General features: G+C 38.3%; 1 protein-coding gene across 1 annotated transcript, besides 1 other annotated feature; it reads right to left on the bottom strand.

The window, feature by feature from the left end:
• Positions 1 to 489: 489 nt before the first annotated feature.
• Positions 490 to 18,191, bottom strand: OOSP3 (oocyte secreted protein family member 3). The gene is made up of 5 exons (NM_001395255.1): positions 18,092 to 18,191; positions 16,534 to 16,712; positions 2,797 to 2,894; positions 1,321 to 1,471; positions 490 to 840 (listed from the first exon to the last, which is right to left on the bottom strand). The coding sequence occupies exons 1-5, from the start codon at positions 18,162 to 18,164 to the stop codon at positions 760 to 762; spliced, it is 582 nt and encodes a 193-aa protein (NP_001382184.1). The 5' UTR covers positions 18,165 to 18,191; the 3' UTR covers positions 490 to 759.
• Positions 19,933 to 20,133: a silencer, noted in NCBI's record as "fragment chr11:59644313-59644513 (GRCh37/hg19 assembly coordinates)". NCBI's record gives its function as "represses an EF-1alpha promoter that drives an FKBP-Casp9 reporter gene in an ReSE screen in HepG2 liver carcinoma cells {active_cell/tissue: HepG2}" and the evidence as "EXISTENCE:reporter gene assay evidence [ECO:0000049][PMID:32094911]".

Below are 20,711 nucleotides of genomic sequence, written 5' to 3'. Positions count from 1 at the left end.
TCCCAATATGAAGAATAGAATCACACAGGCAGGACTTGAGGTTTTGTTAGAAACATCTCAAGATCCTCATGAGCATGTTTCAGAATGATGTTCTTACTAACTGGAGAGTGGTCATTGAAATAAAGAAGGATGGTCCTAAGGGATCACTAAAGGTTTAGTTCCTAGAGTGCCAAGAATAAAAACTAGTCTCACCCTATTGATCTTGAAGAAAGATACGGAAATATTCTGCTATCGCTGTTTCCCAAGGCCATGGGCCTAGAGGAGGTCAAACTTTCTACTCTATTTCCTGGTTGATCCAATGGTGCTCATTTCTATCATGGATACTAAATCTTTCTTAAAGGAATTAAACAACTATGTAGGATTATTCTCAGTCTACTGTATTTAAAACATGACTTGTACACTAACAGCAGGTGGAGGACAGAGACCCTTCCATGCCTACATCCCAGCCTAGGTTCTGTTTTGAGATTATAACCCAGTCATCAAGAAGTATAGCCAAAGGGACAGCACATTTTATTTGTAAGATCAACTCCACATACAAATTATACATAGACATTGTATTATAAGAGACTATGCAAGGGTATAATGGCCTATGTTTAAAAGGAGCACTTTTTAAAAACATATGAAGCACTGGGCTCTATCCCAACCCAATGTCCTCTCAGGAAGTGGCACCAAAAAGTGATAAATCTGTAGTGAGTGGTTCAAAAATTAAATTTTAAGTAAGCTGTAGCAACAGAGTTTTCAGGATTGCCATGGAAGAACCTAGAATATAGCTACATTTGCACTCTCATGGACTAATGGATGAGACATATTAAGTAGAAGTGACTGATGAGATGCCTCTACCTACAGAGAAAAAAGAAAGGTAGTTAATAAAAAGTTTCCAATGTAACCCCTTGATAAACTTGGCACAGTAAACACATTGACTAATATATTGACTAGTGAACACGGAGAACCTACTATGTGCCAGGGATTAGAGGGAAGGGTTGAAAGAGTTGAAAATTTTTATTCAAGTGTCTGAGCACTATTTAAAGTAAGTGGTTTATCAACTCAGATTATGTTTAAACTATACTAGAGATTTTCTTTTATTTGTCATAACTAGGGTAAAGGGAGACTTATTGACAAGACCAGGATATATGTAGACACATGGAAGTAGCATTTTTTCTAAACAGGATTGAAATGTAATGTGAGACCCATCATGTAGTTAAACACTATTTAAACAACAAATACCCTCCTTAGTAGAGATTTGAGCTTTTACTTCCTTATGTCAATACGATCATTTCTACATGGACACTGCCATGTTTTGTCTCTTCTAAGGATCCTCACCGAGGAGTTTTGAAAATATGGAATCCGAGTCAATCCAAATAAGCTAGCGTTGGTTAAGTTCCAGGGAGAATAAGAATTGGTAGCGGGAGGGTCATTTTGGAATTCTGTAAGATTGTTATGGATAGTGCTTGAAGTGGTATCCAAAGATGAGCTGAAAGTTTTAAAGAAGACACAATTTGCACATCAGATTACATTTAAAAATAAACAAACCAGTAAGTCTCTTTTTGTCTGAATTCATTTTTTTTCCTTCTACTTTAGCAGTAGTAGACTTACTAACACTGCTACCTCTCTGCCTTCTACTTGCCTTTTTTTTTTAAGGATTAACAAACCTCCATTTAGGGGCGTTAGTCCAAAAAAAAAAAAAAAAGTCCTACCATAGGAAAATGTATTCTAAACAGAAAACGTCAGCTCTGATAAGCTAAATAAAATTCCCGAGACAATCTCTTACAAGTATAAACTGAGAATCCTGGCTGTTTTAAAAGTTGTCATTCATAAACTACTAAAAGGTTAACAGCATTCATCCATTGATCCTGAAGATATAGCAAAGTTTCAGGGATTTCCCCAAAAGTCATAGGGCCATAGTATATTAAGAAAACATCTAAATTATTGCTTTTTAAAAAATATTTTAATACAATTATGCCCATTCAAGCCCTTTGATTTATATAAGCTATCAAAATTGGGGGTGGGGGAAGTTAGGTATTATGTAGAATAGAGAACAACTTAGGCTAAGAGTTTTTTAATTTGATCTTAAAGAGTTGAAAACTGAGTAATTTGGCTACTATTCCTGTTTCTGCAAGCATTCCCTGATCTGCGGGGTGGCAGTTAGGTGAGAAGGTGTGTTCAAGTCCTGACTTGCCATTCCCTAGCTACATGATCATGGGGACAATCACCTCTGAGCTCTGTTTAACTCATTTTACCATCTTACTTGGATTTCCCAAAAGCAGGACTTGGCAAGGATATTTATGTGCAGGTGATTTATTATAGAAGTGTTCCCAATAAGGGAATGGGAGAAAAGCAGGACATAGAAGGTAAAGACAACAACAAGCAGGAATGCTATTTAAGGCAGAGTCCTAGCCTCAGTAGGACCCTCAAGTGAGCTCCAAAGTCAAATCCTGCCTCCAAGTTTATCCCTGACTCAAGAAACAGAGCTGGCTTTTCATGCCCCCAAATCACTGAATCATGAGAGTGGGAAGTATTTGTTAAATTTCCAAGCCCAGTTGGTATCACTGAAAGCCAGATCACACAGAAGCAGGGAGAGGGGCAAACAGAAATATTAAGGGGGGGTCCCAGGGCATTTGGGCAGAGCATCTGTAATGGCCAAATGGCATTGATAAATACCTCATCATTGCACAGAGAAACTATGCAAACCAACCTCGCTCTAGGGTTCTAATGATGTAAAGCTTCATATTCCAAATGTTTTCCTTTTCATTAGTTCTTAGAGGGTAAACTGTGAACCATCTGGTTCATTATACTCACCCATATACAATACACATCAAAGGAATTTTGCCAGTGACTCCTTTGTGCATTATATTACAGTGGAGTGCTGAATAAAAAACTGTTACATATGAGAAAACCTAATGGGACAAAAAGACTTTATAAGTTGATGTCATGTCACACAGGAGTTTTAAAGACATTTGAACAGTGAACAGATCAAGATAAGATGTAAGCTCTTTATACTGCACCAAGGTCTCTCTGCAGAGAGCTGGAAAAAGAAAACTGATTCACCAGAAAAATTTTAAAAAAACACCATCCAAGGCTTTTGATCATCAGTGCAATCAGTTAATATGTGTGGAAATAAAATAACAAGATTGTAATCTTGAATTGCCAGACTAGGAACAAGGGCTACAGCTTCTACTTAACAAGTTTTTTTTTCTCATATTTAGCTCTTAAACATTATCACAGTGCTGTATCCCAGATGTCTGAAAATATTGAACCAATTGGAGATTTGCCTTTTCTGAACACATGCTCATTGTGGAGATGTCAAAAACACTATGTTGGTCCAGCATGGTGGCTCACACCTCTAATCCCACCACTTTGGGAAGGTGAGGCAGAAGCAGGAGGATCGCTTGAGCTCAGGAGACCAGCCTGGGCAATATAGCAAGATCTCATCTCTACTAAAAATCAAAAAACAATCAACCGGGTTGAGTGGTTCCAAGCCACTCAGGAGGCTGAGATGGGAGGATTACTTGAGTCCAGGAGGTGGAGGTTGCAGTGAGCTGTGATCATGCTGTAATCATGCCACTGCACTCCAGCCTTGATGACAGAACAAGACTCTGTCAAAAAAGAAAAAAAAGCCACTACAGTTATGGTCAAAGATTTATAATCTTAATACAGGAATAATTTCTGTAATTACATTTAGGTATGTTTTTCTATTGATAATTTTTACAAAAATGTCTTATTGAATTACTATTTTTCAACCTGTTAAATAATGCAACAAATATTCTCATAGAAATAAAATGTTTCCAAAAAGAATAGAAATATAGAATTCAATAACACGATTATTTTCCCATTGCGTTGCTATTGAAGGTTATTTTAGTTGAGTATATAAATTGTATGTAAAGTGTGGAAAATAGATATTATATGCTCCTTACTTCTCTTGGTAATTATGTATTCAATAGTGATTTCTAGTATGCAAACTAAAGACCACCAAAAAATCCACTTCTTCATAAAACAATAAGAAAATGGCAGAAATTATCAAATTCAACTTTTTTAAGACTCTGAATATTATCCTCAGTCTTGCAACAATTCAAGGAGCATTTATTCAAGAAAAAAATGATAGAATCTCAGTAAGAATGATAGCTTTTTGGCATTTTTAACTTGTTCTATTTCAAGTTCCCTCTTCCCAGTACACAGTATCTATGAAAGTCAACAGCCTAGCAGGATCCAGAGGAAATAGATGGTTTGGAGCTCCTCAAAAGCCCCATCTTCAGAGAATTGTCATTTTTTTTTTTTACTTTTCCTGAAATGCTGGTTATTTGACTTGACTCTGAATGTGCTCAAGAGGAATAGACCTATATATAATAAGTAAAGAGATTGGATTAGTAGCCAAAAACTACCCACAAAGAAAGTCCAGGCATCACCAGGCTCCACTACTCAATTCTATCAAACATGTAAAAAAAGAATTAGAACCAGTGCTTCACAAAATCTCCCAACAAATAGAAGTGGAGCAGAGGAGACGCCTAGATGGCCAAGTAGAAACAGCTCCAGTCTGCAGCTCCCGCCGAGATGGAAATAAATGGGGAGTGAATTCTGCATTTCCAACTGAGGTACCCAGATTCTCTTATTGGGACTGACTAGGCGGTTGGTACAATCCACAGAGAGCAAGAAAAAGCAGGATCAGGTGATGGTTCACCCAGGAGCTGCACAAGGAAAAGGGCCGTCCCTCCCCCAGTCAAGGGAGGCGGTGAGAGATTGTGCTACCCATCCGGAGAGCTACACTTTTCCCATGGATTTTTACAACCCACAGAACAGGAGATTACTTCATGAGCCCACACCACCAGGGCCTTGGGTCCCAAGCACAAAGATTTGCAGACTCATGACAGCTGCTCAGGTCAGCAGCCGCTCAGGCAGGCACTGAGCTGCAGGAGTTTTTGCATACTCCAGCAGCTCCTGGAACTCCAGTGAGGCAAGAGATTCGTCCACTACTGTGGGAAGGAAACTGAAGCCAGGGAGCCAAGTAGCCTTGCTCAGCGGATCACACTCCCACGGAACCCTGCAAGCTATGACCTACTGGCTTGGATTCCCCACTGGCCAGCACAGCAGCCTGCAGTCTGCCTAAGATGACAGAGTTCCTGGGGGGAGGGGCCACCACAATTACTGTGGCTCTAGTCAGCCATTAGGGGGATTCACCCCAGTGCAGTGCACTTGCTCTGCTAAGGGACAGCCAGACTGCTTCCTTAAGCAGGTCCCTGATTCCATGCCTCCTGACTGCATAAGACCTCCCAACAGGGGTTGCCAGACACCTCACACAGGAGAGTAATAGCTGGCATCTGGTCGGTCCTCCCCTGGGACAAAGCTCCCAGAGGAAGGCACAGGCAGCAATCTTTGCTGTTCTGCGGCCTCAACAGGCGATACCCAGGCAAACAGAGTCTGAAGTGAACCCCCAGAAACTGCAGCAGGCTTGCAGAAGCGGGTTCTGAATGTTAAAAGAAAAACAAACAGAAAGCAACAACATCAACAAAAAAAGACCCCACAAAAACCCCATCCAAAGGTCAACAGCCTCAAAGGTCAAAGGTAGATACATCCAAGAAGATGAGGAAAAATCAACACAAAAATGCTGAAAATTCCAAAAGCCAGAATGCCTCTTCCCCTCCAAATGATTACAACACCTCTTCAGCAAGGGCGCAGAACTGGGCTGAATCTGAGATGGATGAACTGACAGAAGTAGGCTTCAGAAAGTGGGTAATAATGAACTTCGCTGAGCTAAAAGATTATGTTCTAACCCAATGTAAAGAAGCCAAGAATCATGATAAAAGATTACAAGAGCTGTTAACTAGAATAACCAGTTTAGAGAGAAACATAATGACCTGATGGAGCTGAAAAACACAGCACAAGAACTTTATGATGCAAACACAAGTATCAATAGCTGAATTGGCCAAAGTGGAAGAAAGAATATCAGAGCTTGAAGAATATATTGTGAAATAAGGCAAGCAGACAAGATTAGAGAAAAAAGAATGAAAAGAAATAAACAAAACTTCTGAGAACTATGGACTATGGAAAAAGACCAAACCTATGAGTGATTGGAGTACCTGAGACAGGGAAGATGGAACCAAGTTTGGAAAACACACTTCAGGATATCATCCAGGAGAACTTCCTAACCTAGCAAGACAGGCTAACCTTCAAATTCAGGAAATCCAGAGAACCCCAATAAGATACTCCATGAGAAGATCAACTCCAAGACACATAATCATCCAATTTTCCAATGTCGAAATGAAGGAAAAAAATGTTAAGGGCAGTCAGAGAGAAAGGCCAGGTAACCTACAAAGGTAAGCCCATCAGACTAATAGCAGGCCTCTCAGTGGAAACCCTATAAGCCAAAAGAGATTGGGAGCCAATGTTCAACATTTTTAAAGACAAGAATTTCCATCCCAGAATTTCATATCCAGCCAAACAAAGCTTCATAAGAGAAGGAAAAATAAAATCCTTTTCGGACAAGCAAATGCTAAAGGATCTCATCACCAGAAGGCCTTCCTTGCAAGAGTTCCTGAAGGAAGCATTAAACATGGAAAGGAAAAACCATTATCAGCCACTACAAAAACACACTAAAGTACACAGACCAATGACACTATGAAGCAACTACATTAACAAGTCTGCAAATTAACCAGCCAGCATCATGATGACAGGACCAAATTCACACATAGCAATATCAACCTTAAATGTAAATGTGCTAAATGCCCCAATTAAAAGACACAGAATGGCAAGCTGGATAAAAAGACAAGATTCATTGGTGTGCTGTATTCAAGAGACACATCTCATATGCAAAGACACAAATAGGATAAAAATAAAGGGATGGAGGAAAATTTACCAAGCAAATGGAAAGCAGAAAAAAGCAGGAGTTGCAATCCTAGTTTCTGACAAAATAGAATTTAAACCAACAAAGGTCAAAAAAGACAAAGAAGGTCATTACATGGTAAAGGGTTCAATTCAACAAGAAAAGCTAACTATCCTAAATATATATGAACCCAACACAGGAGCACCCAGATTCATAAAATAAGTTCTTAAAGACCTACAAAGAGACTTAGACCCCCACACAATAGTGGGAGACTTTAATACCCCACTGTCAATATTAGATTGAGACATAAAATTAACAAAGATATTCAGGACTTGAACTCAGCTCTGGATCAAGTGGACCTGATAGATATCTACAGAACTCTACACCCCAAAACAACAGAACATACATTCTTCTCAGTGCCACATAACTTACTCTAAAATTCATCACATAATTGAAAGTAAAACACTCCTCAGCAAATGCAAAAGAACTGAAATATAACAGTCTCTCAGACCACAGCATAATCAAATTAGAACTCAAGATTAAGAAACCCACTCAAAACCACACAATTACATGGAAATTGAACAACCTGCTCCTGAATGACTTCTGGGTAAATAATGAAATTAAGGCAGAAATCAAGTTCTTTGAAACTAATGAGAACAAGAAGACAATGTATCAAAATCCCTGGGATGCAGCTAATGCAGTGTTAAGAGGGAAATTTATAGCACTAAAATGCTAACATCAAAAAGCTGAAAAGATTTCAAATTAACACCCTAACATCAAAACTAAAAAGAACTAGAGAAACAAGAGAAACCCCAGAGCTAGCAGAAGACAAGAAATAGCCAAGCTCAGAGAAGAACTGAAGGAAATAGAGACATGAAAAACCCTTCAAAAAAATCAATGAATCTAGGAGCTGCTTTTTTGGAAAAAAAAAAAATCAACAAAATAGGTAGACCACTAGCTAGACTAATAAAGAAGAAAATAGAGAAGATTCATATAAACACATTCAGAAATGATAAGGGGGATACCACCACTGACCCTACAGAAATACAACCAACCATCAGAGAATACTATAAACACCTCAAACTAGAAAATCTAGAAAAAAATGGATAAACTCCAGGACACGTACACTCTCCCAAGACTGAACCAGGAAGTTGAATCCCTGAATAGACCAATAACAAGTTCTGAAATTGAGGCAGTAACAAATAGCCTACCAACCAAACAAACAAAGAAGCCCAGGACCCGTTGGATTTACAGCTGAATTCTACCAGAGATACAAAGAGGAGCTGGTACCATTCCTTCTGAAACTATTCCCAACCATTGAAAATAAGGAACTTCTCTCTAACTCATGTTATGAGGCCAGCATCATTCTGATACCAAACCCTGACAGAGATACAACAAAAAAAGAAAACTTCAGGCCAATATCCCTGATGAATATCAATGCAAAAATCCTCAATAAAATACTGGCAAACTGAATCTAGCAACACATCAAAAAGCTTATACACCACAATCAAGTTGGCTTCATCCCCAGGATGCAAGGCTGGTTCAACATATGCAAATCAATAAACATAATTTGTCACATAAACAGAACTAAAGACAAAAACCACAGGATAATCTCAATAGATACAGAAAAGGCTTTGAGAAAATTCAACATCCCTTCATGTTAAAAACTCTCAATAAACTAGGTTTGAAAGAACATACCTCAAAACCATAAGAGCCATTTATGACAAACCCACAGCCAATATCAGAACGAAAGGGCAAAACCTGTAAACATTCCCCTTGAAAAATGGCACAGGACAAAGATGCCCTCTCTCAGTACTCTTATTCAACATAGCTGGAAGTTCTGGCCAGAGCAATCAGGCAAAAGAAAGAAAGAAATGGTATTCATATAAGAAGAGAGAAAGTCAAATTGTCTTTGTTTGCAGATGATGTGATCCTATATCTAGAAAACCCCATGGACTCAGCCAAAAGCTTCTTAAGCTGATAAACAACTTCAGGAAAACCTCAGGATACAAAATCAATGTGCAAAAATCACAAGCATTCCTATACACCAACAACAGACAAGCAGAGAGCCAAATTATAAATGAACTCCCATTCACAATTGCCACAAAGAGAATAAAATGCCTAGGAATACAGCTAACAAGGGAAGTGAAGGACTTCTTCAAGGAGAACTACAAATCACTGCTCAAGGAAACCAGAGAGGACACAAACAGATGAAAAAAACATTCCATGCTATTGGATAGGAAGAATCAATATCGTAAAAATGCCCAAACTGCCCAAAGCAATTTCTAGATTCAGTGCCATTCCCATTAAACTACCATTGACATTCTTGACAGAATTAGAAAAAAAAACTATTTTAAAAATCATATGGAACCGAAAAAGAGCTTGTACAGCCAGGACAATCCTAAACAAAAAGAACAAAGCTGGAGGCATCATGCTACAAAACCTCAAACTATACTGCAAGGCTACAGTAATCAAAACAGCATGGTACTGGTGCAAAAACAGACATATAAACCAATAAAACAAAATACAGAACTCAGAAATAAAACTGCACATCTACAACCATCTGATCTTTGACAAACCTGACAAAAACAAGCAATGGGGAAAGGATTTCCTATTTAATAAATGGTGCTGGGAGAACTGGCTAGTCATATGCAGAAAATTGAAACTGGATCCCTTCCTTACACCTTACACAAAAACTAACTCAAGATGGATTAAAGACTTAAGTGTAAAACCCAAAACTATAGAAACCCTAGAAGAAAATCTAGGCAATACCATTCAGGTCATACACATGTGCAAAGATTTTATGATGACATTGCCAAAAAATTGCATCATAAGCAACAAAAGCAATTGCAACAAAAGCAAAAATTGACAAATGGGATCTAATTAAACTAAAGAGCTTCTGCACTGCAAAAGAAACTATCATCAGAGCAAACAGACAACCTACAGAATGGGAGAAAATTTTTGCAATCTATCCATCTGACAAAGGTCTAATATCCAGAATCTACAAGGAACTTAAGCAAGTTTACAAAAAAAAAAACAACAAAAAAAAAACCATTAAAAAGTGGGCAAAGGGGTGTGGTGGCTCATGCCTGTAATCCCAGCACTTTGGGAGGCCAAGGCACACGAATCACTTGAGGGCAGGAGTTCAAGACCAGCCTGGCCAACATTGTGAAACCCAGTCTCTACTAAAAATACAAAAAAAAATTAGCCGGGCATGGTGGCACACGCCTATACTCCCAGCTATTCGGGAGGCTGAGGCAGCAGAATCGCTTGAATCTGGGAGGCGGAGGTTGCAGTGAGCCAAGATCACACCACTGCACCCCAGCCTGGGTGACAGAGCAAGACTCCGTATCAAAAAAAAAAAAAAAAAGTGGGCAAATGACATGAACAGATACTTCTCAAAATAAGACATACATGTGGCCAAAAAACATAAAAGCTCAACATCACTGATCATTAGAGAAATGAAAATTAAAACCACAATGAGATACGTTCTCACACCAGTCAGAATGGTGATTATTAAAAAGTCAAGAAACAACAGATACTGGAGAGGTTGCAGAGAAATAGGAACTCTTTTACACTGTTGGTGGGAATGTAAATTAGTTCCACCATTGTGGAAGACAGTGTGGTGATTCCTCAAAGATTTACAACTGGAAATACCACTTGACCAAACAACCCCATTACTGGGTATATACTCAAAAGAATGTAAATCATTCTGTTACAAGGATACATGCATTTGATCAAACAATCCCTTTACTGGGTATATACCCAAAAGAATATAAATTCTATTACAAGGATTCACGCACGTGTATGTTCATTGCAGCACTATTCACAATAGCAAAGACATGGAATCAACCCAAATGCCCATCAATGATAGATTGGATAAAGAAAATGTGGTACATACATACCATGGAATACTATGCAGCCATAAAAAGGAATCAGATCATGTCCTTTGCAGGGACTTAGGTGAAGCTGGAAGCCATTATCCTCAGCAAGCTAACACAGGAACAGAAAACCAAACACTGCATGTTCTCACTTAAAGGTGGGAGCTGAATAATGAAAACACATGGACACAGAGAGGGGAATAACACACATAGGGGCTTGTCAGGGGAGGGTGGGGGAGTAGAGCATTAGGAAAAATAGTTAATGCATGCTGGGCTGGATACCTAGGTGATGGATTGATAGTTGCAGCAAACCACCATGGCACACATTTACCTATGTAACAAATCTGCACATCCAGCACATGTACCCCAGAACATAAAATAAAATTTTAAAAAATTAAAATAAATATTTTTTAAAAAAAGAAATAGAAGATGGCACATTATTCAACTCATTCTATGATGTATTGCCCTGATATTAAAACCAAAGACATCACAAAAAGAAACTATAGATCAATGTACCTTATGAATGTACGTAAAAAAACTTCCAACCCAAATGCCCATCAATGATAGATTGGATAAAGAAGATGTGGTACATATGCACCATGGAATAGTATGCAGCCATAAAAAGGAAGAAGATCATGTACTCTGCTGGGACATGGATGGAGTTGGAAGCCATTATCCTCCACAAACTACTGCAGGAACAGAAAATCAAATACTGCATGTTTTCACTTATAAGTGGGAGCTGAATGATGAGAACACATGGACACATGGGGGACAACAACACACACTGGGGACTGTCAGGGGGATGGGGAGGGAGAATAGCTAATGCATGCTGGGCTTCATACCTAGGTGATGGGATGATCTGTGTAGCAAACCACCATGGCACATGTTTACCTATGTAACAAACCTGCACATCCTGCACATGTACCACTGAACTTAAAATTAAAGTTGAAGAAAAAAGAGAAGAAATCATTGTCTAACCACGCGCCCCCCCAACAAAAAATAAAAACTTCAGCATACCATATCCAGCAACATCTAAAAAGGACTAAGCAGTATGACTAAATGGGATTTATCCCAGGAAAAGGATATGTTGGCTCCACATACAAAAATCAATGTAATACACCATATTAATAGAAGAAAGGGCAAAACCCATATGATCATCTCAATAGTTTCAGGGGAAAAAACTATAAAATTAAATACCATTTATGATAAAAACTCTCCACAACCAAAGATAAAAGGGCACGTCCTCAACCTGATTAAGAGCACCTGTGAAAATCCCACAGCCAACATCATATTTAACAATGAAAGACTGAAAGCTTTTCCCTTATAATCAGAAATAATACAAAGATGTTCACTCTCACAACTTGTATCCAATATTGTACTGGAGGTTCTAGCTAGGAAAATTAGGCAAGAAGATAAAACAAAAATTATCCAGATTGGAAAGGAAAATTAAAACTATCTCTATTTAAAGATGACATGAGGCCTGGCACAGTGGCTCACGCCTGTAACCCCATCACTTCAGGAGGCCAAGGTGGGCAGATCACTTGAGGTCAGGAGTTCGAGACCAGCCTGCCCAACATGATGAAATCTGGTATCTACTAAAAATAAAAAAATAAATAGCTGGACACGGTGGCACACACCTGTAGTCCCAGCTACTTGGGAGCCTTGAGGCAGCAGAATTGCTTGAACCTGGGAGGTGGAGGTTGCAGTGAGCTGAGTTCATGCCACTGCACTCCAGCCTGGGCAACAGATTAAGACTGCATAGAGAGAGAGAGAGAGAGAGAGAGAGAGAGAGAGAGAGAGAGAGACAGACAGACAGACAGACAGACAGACAAACAGACATGATCTTGTATATAGAAAATCATAAGAGATCCACCCAAAAAAAAAAACTATTACAACTAATAAGCATGCTCACTAATGTTGTAGGAGACAAGATCAATCGACAGAAATCAGTTCTATTTCTGTACACTAGCAATGAACAATTTGGAAATAAAATTAATAAAACAGTTTGAAGTTCAGTTGGATCCTGGCAGCAGCTGCAGCAGTTCTCTTCTGTGTCTCTCTTTGCCACCTCCTTTTCACTTCCGGAACATGTGTGCACATATATTTGTTTAAATAACTGTTATTAATTCTTTTGCACATATAACCAGGAATTAAATTGCTGTCTGTTATTTAAGCCACGGCAAGATTCTTCCCTTCTTCCCAATAGTAAACCAGGAATATTAGAAATGTTTTATATTTGAAAAAGACCTGTATATGAATCCAGAATCCTTAACCTTGGTTTTCCTAACCTTTCTAGAAAACCCATTATCTGTGAAATATTTTGTCATTAATCACATTAATGTTTTCATTTAGTGCATAACAATTAGTACTCAATTTAAAATTATCTTCCTTTAAAAGTAGCTAAGTTTGCAGTGTCCAGCAAGAGACTGACAGTCATGGCTGTATGACCTTTTGTAGGTTACTTAATCTTTTTGAACTTCATTATCCTCTTCTGTACAATGGGGATAATAGGAGGACCTACCTCACAGGATTATTGTGCAGTCCCCTGTCTTTCTTAAGACAGAAAAAGTTTCGCATTGAAGCTAACCCATCATTTAACCACTCTTCTAAGCACCATATATTTTGTTTCACAAATTTGTTATTCATTCAGAAAAATAATTTGAAAAGTGAGTAAATTCTACACAATTATAGTTCTCAAATGACTTGTACATTATGGTGCCTGTTCACATTTTACTACATGTAATCTTCTAAGGTTTTTAGATTTCTTTGGAGGTTGGAGGTGGCAATATCGCTAAGGCAGCTAACTTTTCAACATTCTTGGATCAAGCTGATATTGTGGTGAAAAGAATTCCTGCATTTCTCAAAGAACTAGGGCTGAAGCAAAAATCAGTTCCAATGAACAGGTGTCCAAATGGGCTGTTTAATAAAATCTAATCATTTTAAACAACTCTGGCGTTTCAGTGTTTTGTTTTGATCCTGTGAGTTTTAAAACTAGTATTTTAGGTGAGTGGTAAAGAAAGAAACCAAACAATAGAATAAAGAGTTGTTCCCAGGAAAGAATTGAAGTTGGGACAAATAAATTATTAACTTTGATTGCTAGACCTTTCATTGAAGACATTCAGCCAAAGACTCACCATCTTTAGAAAAATAAAAGACTATGCAACTCCAAAAAATTAAATATAGAGTTACCATTTGAGCTAGAAATTTCAGTCCTAGGTATTTACCCAACACAATTGAAAACAAATGTTTACACATAAACATGTACACAAAGGTACAGCAGTAACAAAAAATGAAAACAATTATTCAGCCATAAAAAAGAATGCAGTATTGAGACATGCTATGATATAGATAAACTTTGAAAACATGCAAGCAAAAGTCACAAAAGGCCACATATTGTATGATTGAATTTATATGACATATCCAGAGTATGCAAATCTATAGAAAGAGAAATTAGACTTGTGGTTGCCTATAACTAGGGGAGAAGAGGCAGTGAAGTGACCGCTGATAGGTATGGGTGCATTTTTGAGAAGTGATTAAAATATCCTGGAATTAGAGAGCAGTGATAGTTGTACAACTTTGTCAATGTACTAAAAACCACTGTATTGTACACTTAAATGTTTAATTATTCTTTCCTAATCCATGTCTGCTACTTAAACTGATTGCTACAGTCCTTCATTTTGTTTTTAATACTGTTGAAATTCTAGATCCTGCCCTTTAAATGGAAAATCTTTATAATAAATTATAAACCTAAGAAAGAAATGAAGCCACCAAGGTAGAGATTCTTTGACTCATAAAACTCAAAGAATCTGATTTGATAAGGTATTAAATCAAAATACTCATGTGAATATGTGAATATTAACATTGCTTTTGTATACTATGGAAATTTGAAAACATTTTAAACATTAACCAAATTGTTCCATATACAATCTGTCCTTGAAAGGTAATTTCGAAGGGGTCTTATAAGACCCTGAAAACTTTAGAAATGGTTTTCATGCCACAGGGGGGAAAAAAAAAAATCTTCAAAAGAAACCTACAGCTCTGATTGGTTATTCTACGTCATAGTTTGTGCCTCCTGTAATAACATTGTGGCTGATGTCTCTGCCTCTCTTAGTGTCTCATATTTAATTGTATAAACTTTGAAAAGTTGGCTTATTAATTCTTTGGCCTTTGTAATGATTTCCCTATATCCATAATAAGTCATACTTTGAAATATGGGAAAAACCACAAAGGCCAAAGAAATTAAAAATCTGCAAACTTTCATGAAGTAAGTTTTGTAGATGTGAAACAGCATATTGAAGGAAATCAGAATTGTTTGTATAGGACACACATACCTCTAAATGGAGAGTGTGGTTATTCACCACTTAATTTTCCTATAAATACACTACCTTTTATTTATTTATTTATTTTTTTGAGACGGAGTCTTGCTCTGTTGCCCAGACTGGAGTGCAGTAGCATGATCTCAGCTCACTGCAACCTCTGCCTCCCAGGTTCAAGCAATTCTCCCTGTCTCAGCCTCCTGAGTTACTGAGATTACAGGTGGCCACTAGGCTAATTTTTGTATGTTTAGTAGAGACAGGGTTTTGCCATGTTGGCCAGGCTGGTCTCAAACTCTTGACCTCAGGTGATCTGCCTGCCTCGGCCTCCCAAAATATACTATTTTTGTCATATTGTAAAACCACTGCAAACTGAATGCAGAGTCCACTTTTCTTCCTCCACCAAAGGTTAATGTTGAATAGTCTGTATGTTGCTGTCAGAAAACTCTCGCTCTCCTCCTCCCTAGTTCTATTGCCTTAATCACCTGGATTCAACTTCATCCCAGTGATAAAACCAGAGAAAAACAAAAGATACAGGAGATTTTATCATTAACTTCTATTGAGCATTCAAGGATCAAAAAATTCCAATCTTTTTTTTTTTTTTTGAGATAGTCTCGCTCTGTCACCCAGGCTGGGGTGCAGTGGCATGATCTTGGCTCACTGCAACCTCCACCTCTCGGGTTCAAGCAATTCTCCTGCCTCAGCCTCCTGAGCAGCTGGGACTGGACAGGCACATGCCACCATGCCTGGCTAATTTTTTATATATTTTTTAGTAGAGACAGCATTTCACCATGTTAGCCAGGATGGTCTCGATCTCCTGACCTCATGACGTGTCCGCCTTGGCCTCCCAAACTGCTGGGATTATAGGGTAAGCCACCATGCCTGGCCAAAACTTCCAATCTTAACTAAACTGTCTCAAAACTTGACAAGGAGCATATGAGAAAGAATGAATTATAGACCAATCTCATTCATGGACATAGATGTCAAAATTAGAAACAACATACGAGCAAATCCACCTCCACCTCAAACCTCCTCAGATGTTTTTTTCCTCTGACTTCCCCTAGTGAATTCTACCTCTGGTATCATCCATTTTTTCATCGCCTGCTTCTTCAAAGGAAGAATGTAAATCCCAATTTACCAACATGCAAGTTTCAGTTACATACCTGTTGAACAGATGCATGATCTATGGTAAATTGTTACTCATTTTAGCCTCAGTTACTATGAAAACTAGGAACAATGCCTGCTTTAAGTGCTTCTAGACTTTAGGGGATGTAAGGACTAAAAAAGACTTAAGAGTGCTTGGATAGTTATACTACTATATATGTTGAAGTATTCTCCTCCACAATGGGCTATGTGCCATGATATTTTATGGCCAAGTCAAGGTACCCACTGGTCTTCCTATCCTGAAAGTACCAAATTAAAGTAATTCAAGAGCCATAAAAAAATCTCGCACTGACAGTACACACAGTACTACTGCAAGGTACAACCTAGGGGTTAGTTTATTATTTGAACTGCTTGCAGCTCTTACCTCTTTCTGAATCCCACACTGAGTGGCAGGGTAATTAAACTCATATCCCTTCGCAGTTACATTGGTTACAGGACAGCCAGTTCCCAGAGATGCTTCATCAGAATGCAAAATATGATCTTGACCAAGTAAAGTTGGTTCAGCCACAACCCAGAACATAGAGGAAGTACATCCTACTGACACTGTTGAAAAAAAATTTTTTTAAACATTTAGATAGCAATTTTATGCTAAACGACACCCAGAGAAAGTCTGAACATAGCATATTTAAACATATGTATATACACCACTGTAAAACAGCCTTGAGAGATACAATATGATCACTCAGATGAAATGGTAAAATTGTAAATGAAGGATCAGTCCCATTCAAGCCTGTCTGGAAACAACCTCTGTCTCCTTCCCTGCGAGTACTGTTTCCTTAAAAGTTCAACATTAAGCTAAATATGGGATGCTGTCTCTGCTTCTTTTGCTGTATGGGGCTGCCCATGGATTGGGGGAGCCTCAAGCTGGTGTGCTGGCCTTGAGTTTACATAATTAGGCCAGTGTAAATGACTGATAGGGCACTGAAGCTGCAGCTTCTATGGCCTCTGACTCTCATCCCTGGCAGACATCTACATCCCGTGTGGGTGAAGAGACAAGGGAAACTGTACCCTGGGGCATCTGCTAGACCTGCCAATAAGATGAAGATCTGCACCTGCTCTGTCTCCACCCTGTATCCTTCTATGATGCAAAAGGAAGATAGTCTCAGATTAAAACCTTGTGTGGTAAGTCTGTCAACTCAAAACATTCACAGCTGTGGTGTTACAACAGCATTTCTTCATTTTGTGTCTATTAATTCTACTACCAGAAGCATATCCAAAAAACATTTTTAGACAAAAACATATCCTATAGATAAAGCAATTCATCACTGTATTTTCATGGTTTAAAAAAAAAACTAGAAATAACAAAATTATATGTATTTTATATGTATTATTTCTACCCAATAACTTTGTACATAAATAAAAATATATAGTTTAGATGAGAAAAGATTACTGTAAAATATGGAAAAAGTAAGTGGAATGCAAATAAAACTATTAATATTAATGATAACAACTTTATGACTTAGGGAGAATAAGAAGTGAAAGGAGAAAAAATGAAGAACTTTATTTTCTCAACCTGATTTATGATCACTAACTCATGACCACTTAGGAGGCAACAGGGCAGGACAGGAGGCAGGTGGCAGGATTATGAGTGGGAGATCAGGGTGGGAGGTGGAAGAGCAAGTTGAAACCTTAAATAGAGAAATATTTTTCCACAGGTAGGGTGAATAGGGTGACAAAACACAATAGAAAACACCTAAATCCAGAGGAAGAATAAAACTAGCTCTTTCTCAAGTATTAGGATAAACTAGATAAATCACTTGCTTTGCGGGGTGGTAGAGAGCAAACAAGAGAAAGCAATACCACTACAGAAGTCAGAAAACTATACTGGAAAGTCACTTCCACTCAAAACAGCAAACAGTAAAAGGCCCACAACCGCTAAGAAACTATGACTTCAAACAACAAAATATAAAGGTCACTTGTACCTGACTCTTGCTCAGAAAGAGTCAAAATCGTGCACAAAAGGAAAGAGGACTGTAACCTCACAAAATCTTTCATGACGTCAGCTGCCAACTAATGACCCCTGAAAAATTCAGGAAATTGGAAGCGGCTGCCCTGCTTTTGATACTTTTATACCCGCTGCCACACCCAGCTGACTACATTTACAAATCACTTTTTGCCAATGGCTTATATTTTCCAGGAATGTATTGTTTTTGCCAATTTAAGTTGCTTAATGTTTGGAAAATACAGAAAGTATAAAGAACAAAATTAAAACTCTTTATAAAAACCACTATTTTTATATTCACAGAAATAATTTTTTCTCCCTGCTGAAACTTGACATTCTCTTGATCACTCCAGAACCAAAATCAGGCTGCAAATAAAGTCCCATTGACAAATCTTTGAGAACTGTGACTTCTTCAGGCCCTCCAAAGTTCCTAGAACAGAATGTTCACAGAAGGTCAATGCATGTTTATTGAATTGTTGGGAAATGATTTTCAAACTTTAGCAGCATCAAAAACACCTGCAGCACTTGTTAATACACCGATAGCTGAACTGTGTTCAGGAAATTCTTATTCAGGGCTGGGAATGGAAGGGCCAAGAATTTACATTGCTGAAAGTTTCCAGGTGCTGCTGATGCTGCTGACCCCAGGATCATACTTTGAGATTGTGCCTCAGGCATGTTCACTTTAGAAAGTATTTATTTCAATGGCTCCCAAATTTTAGATTAATTTTCAAAATTATCTGGAACACCATTTAAAAATATGTGTATTCTAACCCCAATCTAGTCCATTGAGATCTATTGTAGCTGGAAATGTAAGAATGCATATGAGTCACTGCAGGGTCTTGTCAAACATGCAAATTCTCACAGTCTAACTCAGTGGGGCAAGACCCAGGAATCTGCATTTTTAAACAACTGCCCCCAGGTGACTCCTGGAGGCTCACACTTTGAGAAACTCTAAGCAGAAGTCCTCAGGGCTGCTGATGAAGGAGGAGGGAGGCAGATCTCCAATTCTTTTTCAGTTATTTTCATTTTATTTATATCTGTTTTATATTAGATCCTTTTTAAAACATCAACATTATAAATTCTCAGCATCCTTTGACCTGAAATGTAACATCATAATTTTAAATAATAAACCAAATGTGCCTGGGGCTACTCATTAAATGACATCTTTGATGGATCAATAAGGAATAAAACAATGAATCCAAATCCTATTTCTCATCATATAATCTCCTGAGACTTCCAACATCTATAATATAAACTTTGCAAAATATGTATGTTATCTGTGCCACTAGTCATTATCTTTTGAGAATCTGGAATGACCTAAAAGAAAACAGAGACCAGTCCAACTAGCATGACATTGGGCCAAGTTCCAGAATCAGTAGTCTAAACAAAGCCTTCCCATAAGAGATATAAAAAATAAAATAAAAATTCCTTCACCCAATGAAACATGTCACATCTACCTCCCATATTAACTTCTTCTACACACCCACATATTATAACAGAAAAAGAGATGGAATAATTCAGTTTGCTACCATACCACTTTGAATCACCCTCAGATCTGGGAAGGAAGAGCCTCTGCTCAGGGACCCATGCATTAGAGGGTATCGCTCTGAACTTCTCCATCATGTTCTTCTCTGGGCACAAGAAATGTGTTGAAACAAAGGAACATGCCATCCAATTCCCAAGCCTTCATAATTTCCTGCCCAAATGGCCTTGAACTTAACATCCAAGGGCTGCTTGAGCCCCTTCCCTGAGTCAGTTCTCTCAGGTGTATATAGCCCTGGGCCTAATGGTGGCCAAGAGGCAGTTGTCTGCTGGAAATATGGACGGAGCTTGGACACAACACCTGGAGTGTCCACACACGTGCACTTGAGGCCCCCTACAATGCAGATCAGAGTGGGGTTAGCAAGAGGAAGGATTTGGCCATGGGCCATGGGCAGGGGATGGTAGTACAGTGGAGATAGATGGTGGCTCTCACCACATTGCAGTGTTCCAATGTGAAATTCTAGAGATTCTAGACTCTGAGAATTGTAGACTAAAGTCTATCTTTCTATTGCATTATGAAAGTCAGTTTGTCAAAATAGGAGACATAACATATCTTAACAGTTTCTTCATTTAAAGCTTTTATGTAAATATACATGATATGTGCCTCCACTTGTACCCTTGCTCCAGTCCCCATGCATGTGAGGTGGGAGCAGACTTGGGGCCGTTTGTCCTCCACACAAAGTATTAGTTTTGTGCAAAAGTAATCTCGGTTTTTGCCATTACTTTTAATTTGCAATGACTTTTAATGGCAAAAATCGCGATCAGTTTTGCACTACCCTAATAACTTGTCTTGGGAGAGATCTACTGATTTCCTTGGGAACCCTCTTAGGGACTTGTTTTGCTTTGCCAATAAGCCTGAAAGGACCTGAGTTTCACTAAACATCTTTGTGCTTAGGTCACTCATCAATGTTCGCCTTCAGTAAGTCAAGCAAATAATCAGAATTACGTAACTCTTACTTAGCATGGAGAGAAGTGAAACGAAAGATATTGATTATTTCAAAGTGGATCTGCTTGATGAGATAAAGGAATTCTGGGTAAATGTCAACAACATACTTAAT

This window comes from Homo sapiens, chromosome 11 (assembly GCF_000001405.40).
Source record: "Homo sapiens chromosome 11, GRCh38.p14 Primary Assembly".
Classification (NCBI taxonomy): Eukaryota; Metazoa; Chordata; class Mammalia; order Primates; family Hominidae; genus Homo; species Homo sapiens.
This window is presented reverse-complemented; position numbering and strand designations above follow the sequence as displayed.

Coding starts and splice junctions, on each gene's coding strand:
- OOSP3 (NM_001395255.1), bottom strand. CDS start 18,164: ATGAAAGATTTTGTGAGGTTACAGTCCTCTTTCCTTTTGTGCACGATT. Junction 2,895..16,533: donor AGTGTGGGATTCAGAAAGAG/GTAAGAGCTGCA, acceptor TTGTCCCATTAG/GTTTTCTCATATGTAACAGT. Junction 841..1,320: donor CATATTTTCAAAACTCCTCG/GTGAGGATCCTT, acceptor TTTTCTCTGTAG/GTAGAGGCATCTCATCAGTC.